This window comes from Homo sapiens, chromosome 2 (genome assembly GCF_000001405.40).
Source record: "Homo sapiens chromosome 2, GRCh38.p14 Primary Assembly".
NCBI lineage: Eukaryota > Metazoa > Chordata > Mammalia > Primates > Hominidae > Homo > Homo sapiens.
In genome coordinates this window covers 54,277,974-54,296,702 of record NC_000002.12, presented here as the reverse complement: position 1 = coordinate 54,296,702, position 18,729 = coordinate 54,277,974, and the positions used below count along the sequence as shown (strand labels likewise).

The 18,729-nt window shown below is 39.6% G+C and overlaps 1 protein-coding gene and 1 long non-coding RNA gene across 8 annotated transcripts in view; one reads left to right on the top strand and one right to left on the bottom strand.

Moving 5' to 3' along the window:
* Positions 1-18,729, bottom strand: part of ACYP2 (acylphosphatase 2) — a 334,188-nt gene that overhangs the window by 8,598 nt on the left and 306,861 nt on the right. The window lies entirely within an intron of this gene.
* LOC105374610 (uncharacterized) overlaps positions 17,065-18,729 on the top strand; it is a 40,619-nt gene continuing 38,954 nt past the window's right edge. For all 3 annotated transcript variants that reach the window (XR_007086321.1, XR_940091.3, XR_007086320.1), the window contains exon 1: positions 17,065-18,359. This is a non-coding gene — a long non-coding RNA (uncharacterized LOC105374610). The remainder of the gene's footprint in view (positions 18,360-18,729) is intronic.

Sequence of the window (18,729 nt, the reverse complement as noted above, 5' to 3'; positions counted from 1 at the left end):
AGTCTATTTTATCCTTTACAAAAATCATGTTGCCTTTAACAGTTATAAAGTAACAATATAAGAGGAGATTTCATTATGGATGCATTTTTTATATGTTTGATGAGGATCATAAACAGTGGTGGAGACAATTTTTTTATGGAATGGAAAAGGACAATGATCTTGGGTATATTACTTTTAATTATCCCTCAGCCCACCTTTGCGTTAAGAAATAAATAAAACACAGTGCTGATAAATGTTAAATAACTAAGGAAAAATCTATTTGTGTAATAAATTAACTGTGCCATATTTTTTGTTCCTATACAAGAAGTCACCAACTATTGGTCCCCTCAGAGTTTCCACAGCATTCTAATTCTTGAGTACAGATGGCATGTATTTAGCCATCAAATACAGTAAGCACCACGCATTTATTGCTTTGGAAGCCAGCAGAGAGGCCAGCTGTGGCCTTCTAAAATGCACTTAGCTTTCTGCTGTTCTAGGGCCTCCTCTTTGACTGCCCCTATGTGAAAAGGGCCCCACCCCTACTCTGTTGCATGCATGATGTCAACGATCACATTTTGTAATTGCTATGTTTATGTGATTGTCTATGTGTTTATTATATGCCTCCTCCACAACAGAATGCAAATTCTAAGAAGGTGGCAGGATCAGGCTGGGTGCTGTGGCTCATGCTGTAATTCGAGCACTTTGGGAAGTGGAAGTGGCAGATCACTTGAGGCCAGGAATGCGAGACCATCCTGGCTAACATGGTGAAACTCTGTCTCTACTAAAAATACAAAAATTAGCCAGGCATGGCGGTGGGTGCCTGTAATTCCAGCTATGTGGGAGGCTGAGGTACGAGAATTGCTTGAACCCGGGAGGCGGAGGTTGCAGTGAGCCGAGATCGCGCCACTGCACTCCAGCCTGGGCGACAGAGTGATACTCTGTCTCACACACACAAAAAAGAAGGTGGCAGGATAGGTCTTACTATTAGATTCCCAACACCTAGCATGATGCCTGGTAATAGTGGGTACTCAATAAATACATATTCATAAATATGTACAATCATAGGTCAATTACAAATAAAATAAAACTTAAAGAAATACCCCCCGACCCCGAAGAAATAAATGTATACTGAATGAATGAGCCTTTGTCATCTGCCTACCTTCTTCAGGTCTACAGCTTCCATGCGTGGGAGGAGGGCAATTTCTAGGCACCTATACCATCCACATACAGAAAGGAACCCTGAATGCTACTTTTTAACTCATTAACTCACAAAAAACAAAACCCTCACATTTTAAAATACTCTTTGCAAGTTAGAGAAATATTTGCTCTTATTACAGAAACTCAGAAAATATTTTACTCATGGTAGTCCCTTCTGAAGAACACAAGCAATGACTATATTCCTTCTCTTAAAGAACATTGGAGGCCTATGGATTCAGGGGCCTAATGACCCGAATAGAAGCAGGTGAACCAAGTTTACTTGTGCAATTGGTTCATTTATCGGTGCCATTCCCCAATATTATTGCATTTTTTTGCGCTTGTGAGTTTATTCATTACATAAATATACATGGTAACTGGCTTTACCCAGAATTCGGGGTAATTCTTACAATACCACAGGAGGGCCAAGTCCATCCTGCAAGCCTAGTCATATGACATGCCATCAGCTTCTGTCAAGTCCAGTGCACAGCTGTATACACTCAACTATATAGTATAAAACCCCTTAGACATGTTTTCTTAGTATCTCAAAGATGTGCAAACATCTATTGTATTTATTGTATTAACTCAGGATATTTTACTCTTTTTTTTTTTAAGAGACAGGATCTTACTCTGTCACCCAGGCTGAAATGCAGTGGTGTGATCATGACTCACTGTGGCCTCAACCTCCTGGGCTCAGGGGATCCGCCCGCCTCAGCCTCCAGAGTAGCTGGGACTATAAATGTGTGCCACCACACCTGGCTAATTTTTTTTTTTAATTTTTTGTAGAGATGGGGTCTCACTATGTTGCTCAGGCTGGTCTCAAACTCCTGGCCTTAAGCACTTCTCACACCTCAGCCTCCCAAGAGCTGCAATTACAGGAGTGAGCCACCATACACAGCCTCAAGATTTGTGAAGAGAAGAAACCTTTCTTCCAACATAATCTTGCACAAAGGCTTAATACTTACGGTAGACAAGTGAAGTTTTTCTCTGAAGCAAGGCAATGGTTGGGGGCATATGTGTGCACTCATGTGTATGTCTACCTGCAGATACCATCCCACCGAGCCCTCTTGCTTCTCCAGTTGTACTGCAAGCATCTCTGAGGAATCCCGCGGGTTCTGAGGGACTCCATTTGAAAACTGCCCTATTAACCTAACACTAAGCAAAAATATAGGGGAGTGGAATGTATGAAGAATCCATCCTATGTAGAAATGGAAATCAACATAGGACTGTCTTTTCAATAATTCAAGTCAGTCAGTATTTCCTGTGTAGTAAGCTCCTGGGGTGATATAAAAAATTCCATTTAACTAATATCCTTGTCTGAAACAGAGGTGAAATTAAAGCACTAGAAAGCTAACACTATCAATAATTCATAGTAGTTCTATTCCCTGGGACTAAAGTGGGGTGGCATAATCCTTTCAGATGTCTCTTCAGCGCCAGTATAAAATGAAGACCATAGCAAGAAAGGAGACAGTAAAAAATAAAGACAGATAATGAATTAAAAGCTAATGTGATGCATGTTGGAAAATACTGAGTTGCCTGTCAATTTCAAGCTTTTAAACTAGCATTAATAATGGAAGGATAATATATAACATTTTTGCCATTCTCCTTTCTTTAACAAGTTTCTTTATTCAGTTACATGTGGACAAATAATACCATAGACTCCTTTATTATCAAATGTTTTAATGTCTGAAATATTTGTCAGATATGTAGCCCTTGATTAGTGAGTTCAGTGATTATCCAGGAAATCCTAGAGCATCCATAATTAACCTAAGACCTAAGATTCCTCATTTTTAAAAGGATGATACTGCTACTCACCCCACTGAGCTATTGAAAGGATTAGAGAGAATGTATGTAAATCACTTAGTGCAACATCTGGCCATTAATAACTATTATTACAGTGTAATTGTTTCCTGCCTTTGCCAAAGATGGTAGACAGCCTGTTTAGCAAGCTCTGTGACCCTCAGAGTCACATACTTCTAGTGCATCTCCACCAGTGAGACCTCTTGGTCTTGGCAGAGGTGCTTCTCAGCTTGCAGCGGAAAATGGCGCATCATCCAACCTCCTCAGTTGGGTGAGAGTCTGGAAGAGCCACTCAGGCTTGAGCTATGCCCAGGATTCTGAGAACCAGCTAATTGAATCAAAGGTCCTAGGAGTAGAGAAGGCAGAACAAGTGAGGGGATGACTATAACCTGTAACTTCCTTGCCGCACCGCAGCTTCTAGGTCAACACATATCTAGTGACAGATATGCCCTTCTTTCTGTTTTATTTGGTGGAACAGAATAGGTGCTGGCACAGTGGTAATGGATGGAAGTAGACTTTAGAGTCAGTATGCTTAGGTGTGAGTCCAGCTACTACTTCCTGGTTGTCTTGGAGAAGTTTCTTAAACTCTCAGTGCCTCATCTGTAAAATGAGGAGTATACTGCCTCCCTCACAGAGTTGCGGTGACGATTAAATAAAATAATCTGTAAAGTGTTTAACACAGTATCTGGAAAATAGTAAATGTTCAATTTTAAGCTAATGTCAGGGTATAGTCAGGGTGCAGTAGCAGGTAACTAAAACCACCTTAGCCATTTTAGGATGGAATTTAATACAGGGAATTAGGTACTTACAAAATAATTGGAAGAACTGGAATAACAAATCTAGATTGGGCCTGTTGGAGCAACTCTGCAGAATTGACTGCTAAAGTATAAATGTTAGAACTGTGATTCTCATGCAAGTATAAAATGACATGTCACAAATATTTTATTTAATACATTAATTAATGAGGGAATCTGTAAGATGTTAAGTCCAGTTCAAAGGAGAATTCAGAGATACATACACGTGTGTGTGTGTGTGTGTGTGTGTGTGTGTGTGTGTGTGTATACATATATACACACACAATCAGAAATGTTTCAATCAACTGGTTAATAGATGCAAAACTGGCTAAAATTCTACAGGACAGCACTGTCTGACAGAACCATAATGCAAGCCTCATCTGTAATTTAAATTTTCTAAGAGTCACATTTTAAGAAGTAAAAATAGTTAAAATTAATTTTAATAATATCTTATTTAACCCACTCTATCCAAGATATAATTATTTCAAGATGTTATCAATATAATAAAATCAATGAGATCTTTTTACATACTTTTTCATATCGAGTCTTTGAAATCTGGTGTATATTTTATACCTATAAGACATCTCAATTCAAACTTGCCACATTATAAGAGTTCAATAACTACATAGCTAGTAGCTTTCATATTAGACAATGTAGCTTTAGGGCAATAAAAAATAATGTTTGGAATTATCTTTTCTTCAGGGCTAAAATCAATTTTATATCTACCAAAAAAAAAAGATTTGTTTTGCTATGGATAAGAATTATTTGTGGCTGGTCATGCTGGTAATTCCAGCACTTTGGGAGTCCGAGGCAGGAGGATTGCTTGAGCTCAGGAGTTTGAGACCAGCCTGGACAACAGAATGAGATCCTGTTTCTGCTACATTCAAATAAAATTAAAAAGTAAAAAACAAAACTATCTGGATTTCTATAGTTTGCTGCAAATAAATTTCTACCTTACAGAGTTGTAAAATAGTTTAGTTAATAGGAAGTCACCAGTGCATACCCCTATAGAATTAGAAAATTCCTAAAGTTTCTACCAGACCATATCAGAATTTTCCTGAAAGACACTCCCGATCTCTATGACCCAATTTCAAGCCTTGGACAATTTTTCCTGATAGGCCTATTAGGGGAATCTGACTGCCAGGAAAAATACTGTATTTATGAATATACTACCCTAACTATCAGTCCAGGTATCAGGAAGGCACCACCAGAATTGTTGGCCCCCGAGCCACATGGGCTAGATCTTCACACCAGCTAAATGGATGCCTCAGGCACTGCTGCCTCTTTCTCCACTGAACTCAGTCCCAAATTCAAATTTCACAGGAATACCTCTGATTAATAATGACTAAATCACATTTGAAACTCTTGCTGCGAGGCAGTCAGGAAATGTAGCTCCTAGCTCTCCAGTGTCTGCAGTACGTGAAAGACCCCAGAAGGAGTTTGGAATAGAGGTCGACCAAGCCAATATACCACGTCTACTGCAGCCATTATTCAGTTAACAAGAGCTTCATGAAATTCTTCACTCTGGGATTCAGAGGAATTAGATTTTTTTTGCCGGTCTGTATGGTGGCCACACTTCTGTGGACCCTTTCTGGTACAGGGTTCTCAGCACTAGAACAGCATCCCAACCAACATTGAAGGGTCAGGTGCAGAAGAAGGCAACAGAGGACATGTAGAAGGCATGACCAGAGAAGAGGGAGATGATAGCCACCAACGTGTGCTGTTAGGAAAACCCAAGGCAAAGGTATTTTAAGAAGGGAGCAGTCAGTGTCCAAATGCTGTCAGGACCCAAGTAAAATAACTGAAAAGTGCTTTGGGGACCTCAGCAAGCTCAGCTTCAGTGAAGTGGTGGGGGTGGAAGCTAGATTTGCATGGTTTTAGAGTGAGGGGGAAGTTAAGAATCTAAGACAGCAAGAATAGATCATCTTTCTAGCTGTCTGCCTGTGAAGGAGAGGAGAGAGAGCAGCTGTATACATCTTTACGGTTCTGTTCTTGGCAAGGCAAGCCTGCCTAGATTTTGAATTCAATGCCTTCCAATATTTACGAGCGCCTTTGTCTCAGAAGAGCAATATTTGAGGAAGATTGCTTTAAGGATGCACAGTCCAGGATGTTCTCTCTTCCAGTTATGTTAAAATCGACTCCTACATGAAGCCAAATGAAAAATGAGTTGGCCAGACACGCCTGCGTTTTCACCCTCACCCTGATCTCTCCATCTCCCACCAAAAATGCTCATAAACAAATTGAGTTGGGGTTGGGGGATGCCATTAGCCGATAGAGAACTACTAGATAATCTAGTGCCAAATTGTGGCCCACTCATAGCAGAGGTTGTTATTTTAGGCATCACTTAAGCCTTGTCCTGGCTCTATTTTATGTCCCCACCCTAGTTTTTAATCCCTTTTCACTTTTAAATGTACATGCTCTTGTTTTACATACGCTTACAAATCACTTTAAATCCTGCTGGGAACAAAGTGAGGTGCAAACATAAAAAGCTCTGTATTTTCCCGGCTTGCTGATACTGTTTGTTTGATTTTATAATGGAAATGGTAGGGGTGGGGGAACAGATTTATTTAAGGAGTTTTGCTTTACGGCCGACTTCGTTAGATACCTTTTCCATTAAAATAAGGCATGCAACGTTCTATGGTTATAAAAACCACGTCTTCAAGGCACCAGTCTCTGTGGCCGTGGACTCCGGGACCAAGCCAGGCAGCCACGGCCTCGCCCGGGGAAGCTTCAGGTGCCATTGATCGCGGGGCGGCGGCAGCCGGGCACCCACCGGCTCCGACCTCTGTGCCGAGAGGAATGTGCAAGTCCTCAAAGGGAAATTCATAAAGCGAAGCCCTGACAGCCTGATGCAATTTGCGCACAATTGAATTAAAAGAATAGCGCCAAGGTGGGATGGAAAGGCGGCTAACGACACAAGAACCGCTAGAAGAACAGATGTGCTAGATGGAAAAGCAGAAGCAAAAATCACATTTTAATGGAAAGACGACTGTTTGGCTGTGTATTAGACACCGGCTGTATTGAGCATACTACATGTGGTTAACCCTGAAGATGGGGGCTCTCGGAATGCCTTGAAATATTTGACGAGAATCAAAAATAATGAAGCCCTTCTTTATGGACATGTCTCATTGTTAGGGAAATGGCTACCTTTTGAACCTCCCAGGATTTTTTTTTTAGATTCTCCTATGTGACTCAGTTCATAGGGAGGCTCATGATGGAAGGTAAGAATGCCATAGTAATGTTTTAGTTGGTAGGTGGCTGCCTGTAAATGGTACTTTTATAATTTCAATATTTTTCGGCACAAATGTGTTAAATGCTCACAAATTTCAGTCTGTTATGTAGACAGAGATGATCATAAAAAACGTTTTCCTTTTTGTACTCATATGCCAACTTTTAACAAAAATATAGAACAAAATAGAAGGTGAGGAAGAAATATGTATCTTCCTAATAATCTCTGCAGGTTATAAAACAAAGTCATTGCTAAATCCCAATAAAGGTGTTTCTGCCTAGATTTTGAAAACTAAAATTGGGTGTAGAATTGTCACCCTAGTAACAAAAAATTTAAAGAGCTTGGGCCTGTTGGTTGACTTAAATCTGCTGTAGTTTTCATAAATAAATCTAAGTTATTAACAGCTTGGTGAATTTTTGGCAAATAAGAGGACGTCATCAATATATCCAAGTTGCTTATCTAGTGGGAGGTGACAAAGTAGAAGAAGGAAGGATGTGAGGCTGAAAGGGAGAGGAGAGAAACATTTCATGGAAGAGGTTGTCTGACTTTAAGGTGTGCTCAATTTTGCTGACACCATTAATGATCAAAGAATATCTAGCAACCAGAATCAAAATGTAATTTAACTTCATTATATTACACCTCCCTCTTTTGAATTGAAAGCTACTTATATATAGTTGATAGCTGTCATTCTTTAGTTTTCCAAATGACTTTTAGATGATGAGGCTTTGAATAGAATTAAAAGCTTGGGGTCGCAGAAGTTACAACCATGAAACTAAAGCCAGTAGGTGGGTCCTGCTGTGGAAGAAACTGGACTCCCTGAGATTGGGTCTACAAAGTGCAGTTTGGACTTGGCAATCATCCAGATAAGGCCTCAACCTTTGGGAGCCTCTTCTAATTACACACTATTTCCTGCTACAGCTAAATGTACATCACAGAAAGAAAAAAACTAGTTAGCAGCTTTCTGTGGGATCCTACAAGGCACCGTTACATCGGTGGAGTTGCCAAAGCTCTTCTCTGGTCAAGGAATTGATCCTAAAAGCTCTCTGGAATGATCAAGTTTAGGGGAACAAACACCTGATTTCCTAGGAGATCAATTTATAAACTAGAATACCATGCATCATTTATAGTAGGCAAGTATATCAGCCATTTATAAAATAATTTTCCTTTTGAGGGAAATGCACTAATGCACTAATGAGACAGAATTACATTAGATTGTTCTTTCTCTAGCCTAGGTGAAACCTGGCCTAGAGAATATACATAATGATAGTATCCTTTTCCCCAGGAAGCACTGAAGAAATGGTAATATGGCCCACCTTTTTAAAAACTACACCACCCACTGCTTTTCACTTAACAAATCACTACCTCAGACAAGTTAATGAGGCTATAGTTTTCTTTTTAGTTGCTCTGTTCCTATATGGAGGATATGCCTTGGTCACCTGCATTATGCTGAAACACAGTCTGTTTCTGTTTCTAGGGTAAAGAAAAGGGAAAGCTTATCACTTAATTGTAGTATCTTTACAGACCACATCTTAAGGCAGCTTGCTTTGAAACAGGTGATTTTGTTTCCATTTTGGAAGGCAACAGGTCTGATATTTTCCCTGGATAGAGGAAAGGTGAAGGGAACAAAGCCCTCTCTAAATTGTGGCTACAGGAGTGGCAGGCAAGTGCAAGAATACCCCTTTTCCACAGAGGGAATTAACCCAAAGGGAATGACTGAAAGGGTCATTATGTTCTCCAAGACAATCAAGCAAGCAGCATAGAGAGTCAACGTGCTGATGAGGGAATGTTCCCAATACTGTGGGTGCTGTTCAAACTACCCTCACACCTAGAAATAACAAACACTGTTTAGCCAGCTTACAAGTCTGCAATTTGGTCAGGGCTCAACAGGGAAACCTCATCTTTGCAGTACTTGCCAAGAGCAGCTCTGAGGCTGAGGACTGGAATAACTGGAATCACTTACAAGTCTGGCAGATGATGCTGGGAAAACTCAGTCAGCTGGGTTCTGCAACAGCTCTGGCTCCTCAGTCGTCTCCCTCTATCCCTACATGACTTCTTCAGCATGGCGGCTTCAAAGTAGCCAGACATTTTATGTGTGTGTTGTCACAGGGATCCAAAGGTATGTCCAGTAGAGCCAGGCAGAAACTGTACTGCCTGCTCTAACCTAGTCTTGGAAGACACTCAGTGTCACCTCTAACACATTCTATGAGTTTGAAGTCAGTCACTAAGGCTGGCCCATGTTCAAGGGGAAGGAAATTAGATCTCACCTACTGTGGTCTGAATGTATCCCCCAAATTTCATATGGTAAAATTTAATTGCCAGTGTGACAGTATTAAGAAGTAAGGCATTTAGGAGGTGATTAGGTCATGAGGGGGGGCCCTTATGCATGGGATTAGCCACTTATAAAAAGGGCTTGAATGGGTAAGTCTGTTCCTTCCATTCCTTCCACCTCTTCTGCTATGAGGACATAGAGTTAGCCCCCTCTGGAGGAAATGGTGTTCAAGGTGCCACCTTGGAAGAAGAGATCAGGCCATTATCAGACACTGAACTTGCCAGCACTTTGATCTTGGACATCCAAGCCTCCAGAACTGTGGGAAATAAGTTTCTGTATACATTACCCAGTCTAAGATATTTTGTTATAGCAGCACAAATGCACTCACCTTTAGTGAAAAGAGTATCAAAAAATTGGGGAACATGTTTTTAAATCACCAGGGTAATTTTATGTAGTTAAATAATTATGTGATAGTATACTCTTTACTAAGTCATTCATTCACAAATACTTACGGAGCTTTTTACCATATATTGAATAAACATTGCATTTCAAAGTTAAAAAATTCTAGATATTATAGCCTGAGAAAACTCACATTTGGATATGATTTTATGTATTGAGAAGGCTGTATTTTGTTTTAGGCCTGTCTTTGAAAGTTTTCAAACCAGCACAAAATGTCAGATGAGGACAAATCCATTTAGAGAGGAGTATAATCAAAACAGCATAAAGATTTTTATTAGAATTCATTTAAAACCTGAGAAAATGGAAGTATAAATCCTTAATCAGTACAATTATATTCTAGAAAAGTTATCTGTTGAGCAAAGTAGTGTAAAAACGGATCATCTTTTCTACCAATTTTATATTTTCAGTTGCCTGGTATGTGAAAGGAGGATTGTTCTCTGATAGACATAGATGACTATTAGTTAGGGTTAGATTCAGCTTTGAAGCACAGTAATAGTGGCTTGAAGAAGGTAGTTTACAGAGAGTCCCTGATGGGGGGACTCTTTGTAATGGTTCAACTCACATTTTTTAGACTTTCTGGTGGTGCTAACATGATAAACATTTAGTAGAAATCTTACTTCAAATGTTGAATTTTGATCTTTTTCCAGGCTAGCAATATGCATTGATATTCTCTCACAATGTTGGGCAACAGCAGCAAACCACAGCTCCCAGATCACGAGGGTAAACAGTGGATACTCTACAATGTACTGCATTGCCAAATAGTTTAGCCCAGCTATAGGGTTGGTCTTGAATGCCTGGGCTCAAGAAATCCTCCCATCTTGGCCTCCCAAAGGCCACTGCGCCTGGCCCTGAGCACATTTAAGGTAGGCTAGGCTAAGCTATGGTGTTCAGTAGGTTAGGTGTATTAAATGCATTTCTCACTTACAGTATTTTCAACTTACAATGGGTTTATTGGTACATAACCCTATCATAAGTCAAGAAGCATCTGTATTCCTTTATCATATAAAGGAAGCCTGAAGGTGGGCAGTCCAGGACAGGTATGACAACTCCATACCTTCAGAGACCTTTCCAACTCACCACTCCATGATTTCTAGGATGTTGTCCTCCATTCTCATAACCCAAGATGGATGCTAAAGTTCCAACCATCACATCTGTGTTCCAGACAGCAGGATAGATGAAGGCAAAGAGGAGGAAGATTATATATGTTTGCAGTATGTTAAAAAGGTTTTCTAGCAGCTGCCACACAATACTTCTGATTACATCTCATTGGCCAGAACTCAGCTACAAAAGAGACTGAGATGTTGTCAATGTAGGCTTTATTCTGAGTGGCTGTGTGCCCAGTAAAAACACATGTATTACAATAGAAGGAGAGGATGATTACTGGAGGACAGCTAGCAGTCTTAGCCACAGGGTGGAAATTGAGTGTTCTGTTTTGGACACAGTAAGCATGAGATGCTTTTTAGACACCTACGTTAACAACAGAATTTAGGAGAGAGATTGAAACTGGAATTATAAATTGGGAACTGATTACAGATGATATTTAATGCCACAGGGCTAGATGGCAATACCTGGGAATAAATGGAAACAGAAGAGAAGTGGTCAGCAAGAGGAGCATCCCACAGAATAGGCTGAGAAGATGGAGCAAGTGAGGCAGAAGGAAAGCCAGGAGACCGTGGTATCCTAGAAACTCAGTGCTGTGGTCTGAATGTTTGTGTCCTCCCAAAATTTGTATGTTGAAACCTAATTCCTAATGTGTTGTTATTAAGAGATAGGGCCTTTGTGAGATGATTAGCTCATGAGGATTCCAAAGGGACCAGTACCCTTATAAAAGAGGGCCCAAGGGAGCTTGTCAGCCCCTTCCACCATATGAGGGCACAGCTGGAAGGCAAAATCTTTGAAGCAGAGCAGAGCTGTCACCAGACGCTGAATCTGCTAGTGCCTTGATCGTGAACTTCCCAGCCTCCAGACCTGTGAGCAGTAAATTTATGTTGTTTATAAATTACCCAGTCTATGGTGTTCTGTTACAGCAGCCTGAAGAAACGAAGATGCTCAGCAAAGAAGGTATTTCAAGAAGGGGGTCTCAACAGTCTCATGGGTTGCTGAATGTTTAAGTAACACAGGCCAAAGAACTGATCACTGGATTTGGCAAGTTCAAAGTCAAGGACACTAGTTGATCCTGGTTACAATGGAGAGGTAGAAAGCAAAGCCTGCTGGGAGGGAATGAAGAGAAAAATAGGTGGGTGAGAAAGAAGAAACAGTCAACATAGCTTTATCAAGGAGATGTGCTATAAAGGGCTGGAGATGATGTAGCTCTAGAGGACATCTTTTAAAAAACAATTGTAGATACAAGAGCATATTTGTGTGCCTATGGGAATGATGGGATAAAAAAAAAGGTGATGATGTGAAAGAGAGCAATAATAGAAGTAGCAAACCAGGATCCAGGGTAAAACTGAGTCACAAGAAAAGTGTACACAAAGGAGTCACGTGGAGACACACAGGAGAATGAAATAAGGGATAAGAATGAGACCAAGAGGAAATACTAGATGAATAGATTCTAGCAGTGGAATTGAGGGTAGCAAATGCTCAAAAGATAAAGAGGATTCTCTTGAGGGCCACCTCAGATAGACTGGTAGTGGATGCCTGGGGCTGTATGTTGAGGAGACGAGTGAAGCTTTGTCCAGGCTCCATGGGAGAAAGTGCAGTGATCAGTGATGCATCCCCCAGTATTCTGACCTGAATCGTTTATGGAGCCTGCTTTGGCCTACAAGCATGTGGATGCTTTTTATGAGTCTGGCTTTGGCTTTTAATTATATGATTTTTTTTTACAAAGTTTAAATCATATTATAAGAACTGTTATAATCTTTTCCACTTAATATAAAGAGAGTTGTCACTAAGGCTGGAGTGCAGTGGCACGATCTCGGCTCACTGAAACCTCCGCCTCCTGGGTTCAAGTGATTCTCCTGCCTCAGCCTCCAGAGTAGCTGGGATTACAGGTGCCACGATGCCCAGCTAATATTTGTATTTTTAGTAGAGACGGGGTTTCTCCATGTTGGCCTGGCTGGTCTTGAACTCCTGACTTCAGGTGATCCACTCGCCTTGGCCTCCCAAAGTGCTGGGATTACAGGCGTGAGCCAGTGCACCAGGCCAAAGATAGTTTTTTAATGTTAATAGATCAGTGTCTACATTCTACATCATCATTTCAAATGCTTCTTAAGTCTTCCATTGTATGGGTAGACTCCGTTGTATTTAATCAACTTCCTATTGTTGGAAATTCGAGTTGTTCCAATTGTTAAATAATTACAAATGTTAAAATATACTTAAATATTTACTTGTAAAACTCCTACTATATTACATCTACTTTATGATCCAGAAGGCACTACGAAGTCACGGTTTAAAACCATGGGCTTTTGAGTCAGAGCTAGACCTCTGGGATTCTAAATCTGTCTCAGGGTCTTAATCTGAGTAAAATGGGTTTAATAATATTTATACCTTACAGGAGTGTTGTGAAGATGAAAGGAGTTAATATATGTAAAGCACTACACAGAGTCCTGGGGCATGGAAAGCATGCAATGAAAGCTAGCTCATACAACTGAAGGGGCTCACGTCTACCCATCTCTGCCCTCAATGCTCAGCCCAGGGGTTGACAAGGTGTTCAATGAATTGCTTGTTCAATGAGTAATTTGTATAAGATCTTGGTAACAATATTAAAAGGTTATAATCCTAGTCACAGAGATAGGACTAAATTAGAACTCTTTAATAAAAATCTTGAGGCAAGATATTCATATCTAACAGGAATTGTATATGTATGATAATTAGGGTAAGTTTCATCTTTTTATTTTCAATCATTCGTGCATTAGGATAAAGCCCAAAATGTGTCATAAATCACTGAATTGAAAACACCACTGTGCAAAGTATAAAAAATTTCAAATCAACCATGCTATCATCTTTAATTTGTGAATGTTAGAAATATTTTCATTCTTCACATTATTAATTAAAACAATAATATTTGATCATTGTAAAACTTCAAACAGGATATACAGGAAGCAGGAAGTGAAAGCTCTCCTTTCTCATCTCCCAGCCCCACTCTTAGATATGGCCACTCTTTGAAGGTGTATTCTTTCACACCTTTCCTGTGCATATACAAGTATACACACAGCTACCTGTGAATATGTCCATACAGAGGATAATCAGCATTTAATTATAAGTCACACAGCTCTACTTTCATATTTAAGAAAAAAAAAACTTCCAAACAATTTCCATCAGAAAAAATTGTCACTAGTCTGGTGTTTTTATCCATTAAATCTTTGTTTCTAGTGATTTCCCCAGGAGTGAGTGGTTCATTGTAGTTGGCTAACCATGTAAGAGCAAGCAATAGAACAAAAACAAATGTTTTTGTTCTATTAATAAGGAAGTGAATAAGTTTTCTTAAACATTCATAGGAATAGATGGAGAAAAACATGTGACCTGAACTAAGATCAAATCAGGCAGAACTTTGTTCCAGGTCAGAAATAGTTTTAGGATCTTGACATATGACCACAAGGGCCATCTGCTTAGAGCAGGGCAGAGTAAAGCAAAATGTGGAGCAGGGTGAGGACACAAAAGAGGAGTGGATGAGAGGTTGGAAATTGTCTGAAAATGTTAAAGCTGATTTTAGTTTCCCATCGTCCGTGACGGTGGGATTTGGTGGTCATTTGTTATTTTAGTTATTTTATTTAAAGTCCCCAATCTCTAACCCTAACAGATACAGGAGTGTAAATAATATTTTTATTCTTTGAAGGACTTGGAGAACTTGTATATTCTTCTGTTATTTCATAAGAGATTTTAATTTACTATTTGAGATGTTTGAGGCAAAAAAATACTTAAATTAACATATATTTCACTACCAAGAGAACTGGTGTCTTCTGGGTAATGAATTATGAATAACAACATATGAAATAAATAGCAACAGTCACTTTGGCTCCTTTGTGGAAGAACATAGGATATAAATAAGTAAGTGTATACATGAAAAAATGAAAATAAACAGTAATGATGCTTGCTAACTGTGTTGCTTGCTTCTGTTATAACTCATTCATTCTAAAAAAATAATTAGCTGATAGGGTATAATTACTATTTTTATAATCTTGTTCAAACAAATTGAATTTGTGTAATGGAAAAAAAGCAAAACTTAGTAAAGCATTTTTCATAATCTAGGATCTATGTTGCTACAATCTGTATTTAACTCCTTAGAAAATGGTCCCATAATCAAGATCTCCTTCCTAGTTCTCTCACCAGGAGTTGTAACACTCTGATTCACAAGAGTAAGCTTTTGATTTTGGCTTTTTAATTTTACTTCGTAATACCAGAGCCTAGAAGGAACTTCCACATCACAAAAAATTGAGCATAAGGGTTTCACCAGAGTCTAGCTCTGGTGATTTCTGCCACATGATATCTTTGCTACTATAATTCTAAGGAGATGGGAAGTCTTACTCGACTGAAATCTTGTCTAGCCACCAACATCATCTCATCTTTACCTGTCCTGGGTATCATCATGTAGGCTAGTAACTTGCACCCCTTAGCCTACTGACAGAGACATCTGTATCTCCTATAACATCCATTGACTATGCATGTGCACTGTGGCAGCACCACTGATTTGCTTTAAACATGGTACTTAATTTGATAACTGAAGTAAATAAGAATTATCTGGCATCCAAGGCATCAGAATATATCCCACTGTCAGGAAAAGGAAATTGATCCCTGACTTCTGAGCTGCAATGACAAAGTTAATCATAATTGGACTCTAAGATTGAGACTAATCAGATATTGAGTCAAGGTAATCAACTGGAGTTGATAATATATAGAATAATCTGGTTTTGAATAGTGCTTTGCTGTTTTCAAAATGTTTTAAATTATGTTATTTCGTTTAAACCTCCAACTTCTCTCTGAGGAAGCTATTATTATTTCCATTTATAAGTGAAAAGACCTAGCCTCATAGAGATAAATTCCTCCTCTTCTTGGTGATGTTTCCTTTCCCACCTGGCTTTTATATACCTTCCCTCTATGATTCTGACACCTGGTAGATTCTCTTCAAAGAATTCACAAATCAATGATGCTACCCACTCAGTGGAATACAAACCTATCTTCCAGTTACCATCTCATTTCTCTTTCTTCCTATCGATTAAGTTTCTTAAGAGTAAAATATACTCAATGTCTCTTCCCAAGTTCACACTTACTCTTCTACCCATTGAATCAGGCTTCCAAGACAACTCCTCCACTAAAACGGCTCTCAGGAAGGTTGTCACAGACCACCAAGTTGCTAAATGAAAGGCATATATTGTTTTGCCATCTTACTTGACATTTTTCCTTTTCTCTGCCCACGGCTTTTGGGACACTACCCTTTTGCCTCCCTCCTGTGTCTCTAGGTGATCCTTCTAAGTGGGAGTTCCTTTTTACTTTGTTCAATCCTTTTGGTGATCTCTAGGCTTAATTTTGTGTTCTCTTAATCTTGATTTACTCTCTGAATGACTTCATCTGAACCCATGTTTATCATGAAAGCTGCAGCTTCATATACCATTGACTACTGAACCTCCCCGCTTGTATCCTATCTGCCTCTACCTCCATGCCCCCTTCCCACCCACACCTCCCTTACCCAATGTGCTCTTCCTCCTGCATTCTGAAACTTGGCAGAATCTGGGCAGTCACAGACTTTCAACCACCCCCTGGACAGTCAATCAACCATGATGTCCTCTTGATTTTAATAATCTTTCATATCTCTCTCTTCTTCACTCTTATTATCCCTGACTTACATCAGGTTCTCATCTGTTTGCCAGGGATGCAGGTCAAGATTGCCTTGGAGGCTTTGGGCCATTCCTTAGTAGGTGCAATGAAAAAAACAGATTTGTAACTTTCCTATCATGGTGTTTGGTTCTGGATATCTCCTATTGTTGGGTCTCAGTGGTGGGTCTTGGTCAGGAATGATGAAAATTACAAACCACAACTTGCATTTATCTTCCCTGTAGTTGAAGTTTATCTTAAAATGGGCATGGAAGAAGATAAGATAGCAAATCCAAAGCATTTAACAAACAGGTAATAGATACCTATTCTGTAATCTGTGCTAAGCATCTGGGATACAAAGACAAATATGGCATTGTCCCTGTCCCCAGTGCACTCATGTTCTAGTGGGAAAGGCAAATGATTACAATTCCGTATAATACTTGGAATGATGAAGGAATGTGAGAAATATTCTATGAATACAGGAGAGTTTTCATCCATGTATTCATTTTGCCTTTATTGCATTAAGTGTGTGAAGTGGGGAGGGAGGGAGTGGCAGCATGGCTGACAAGGTAGGGTAGGGCTTCCAGAGACGTGAAAATGCTCTCTTTCAGATAGAGACTGCAGCTCTTGAGACTGCAGCTCTGGATCCTGCCACTGGGGGTTCTGGGAATTCTGTTGGCTATTTTCTCAAGTGGTAGAATTATCCCAAACAAGTTACACAACCTCTGTGATTTCTAATTTCCATAATTCTAAAATGAAAAGTTGGTTAAAATCGGGAGTTGGCAAACTTTTTCAATAAAAGGCCAGATAGTAAATGTGTTAGGCATTGTGGTTCATATAGCCTCGGTATATGTGGTAGGCTTGTGGTCCATATAGCCTTGTTGCATTTACTCAACTGGGTCACTATAGTGCACAAGCAGCCACAGATAATACATAAACAAATAAGCCTGGCAGTATTCCAGTACAACTTGATTTACAAAAACAAGCAGTGGGCTGGATATGGCCCACTGGCTATCGTTTGCAAGCTCCTGGTCTAAACGATCTCCACGATGACTTTCAGATCTGCCATTCCATAGGTTCATGAAACAGCAGTTCTTAAATTCTTGATATACTTCATATTAGTTTTTAAATATACTTTTGTTGTGGTTGACCAGTTTAGAAAATTTTACTGTGGCATTAAAAGTGGTAAGATTTGAGGTTTAACTTATCATGGGTCAGTTAGCTTCTCTCTGTTCCATGACTGTACATCACAGACATCAACAAATTCATGGCCCTGCATGGAGCCACAGAGCTCCATGACTGGACAAATGTCATTCTTCCTTGTTTCTGAGAACACAACCTCAGCACATGCTTCCTTAATGATAGTACAGCAGCATCTATATACTGACATTATTTAGTTCCTTTCAAAAAATAAAATTATTTTTAAGAAAAGTTGTTAATATAATATCTGGCAAAAGAAACCTATAGGTAAATAGGTATGTTTCATTATGAAACTTTTAAATAAGCCAAATTGATTTTTATGGCTACTAAGCAAAAGAATGGTTTAAAAAAAAGTATGCTGTTATGCATGTAAGCTAAAGCAGAATCGGCAAACTGTCTATGTCATAAAAGCCAACAATTCTCTACTTTTCCAATGGTAGACATTGCTAATCAATCCTAGCAGTTTTCCCCACAGACTCTGAATGGATTCTCATAATTATTCCAACTCGCTGAGCCAGGAAATGATGCCAAGTTGATTGGCATTACCATGCCAGATAAAATCTATTGTCACAGTGCAACAAAAGTTACTATACTTTTTCTATTCCAACCACCAATTTATTCTTGCTAAAAGATGTAACCCTGGCTTCAGCAGCTATAAAATTCAACTCAACAAAATGAAGATAGGGTAAGTCTCACTAAAAAACCTTTCATAGAGAAAAACCTGGCATTGTTTATTGAAAGACTTAAAATGGGCTAGGTGCGGTGGCTGACGCCTGTAATCCCAGCAATTTGGGAGTCCGAGGCGGGCGGATCACGAGGTCAGGAGATTGAGACCATCCTGGCTAACACGGTGAAACCCTGTCTCTACTAAAAACACAAAAAAATTAGCTCGGCATGGTGGCGGGCGCCTGTAGTCCCAGCTACTCAGGAGGCTGAGGCGGGAGAATGGCATGAACCTGGGAGGCAGAGCTTGCAGTGAGCCGAGTGAGCCACTGGAGTCCAGCCTGGGTGACAGAGCGAGACTCCGTCATAAATAAATACATAAATAAATAAAT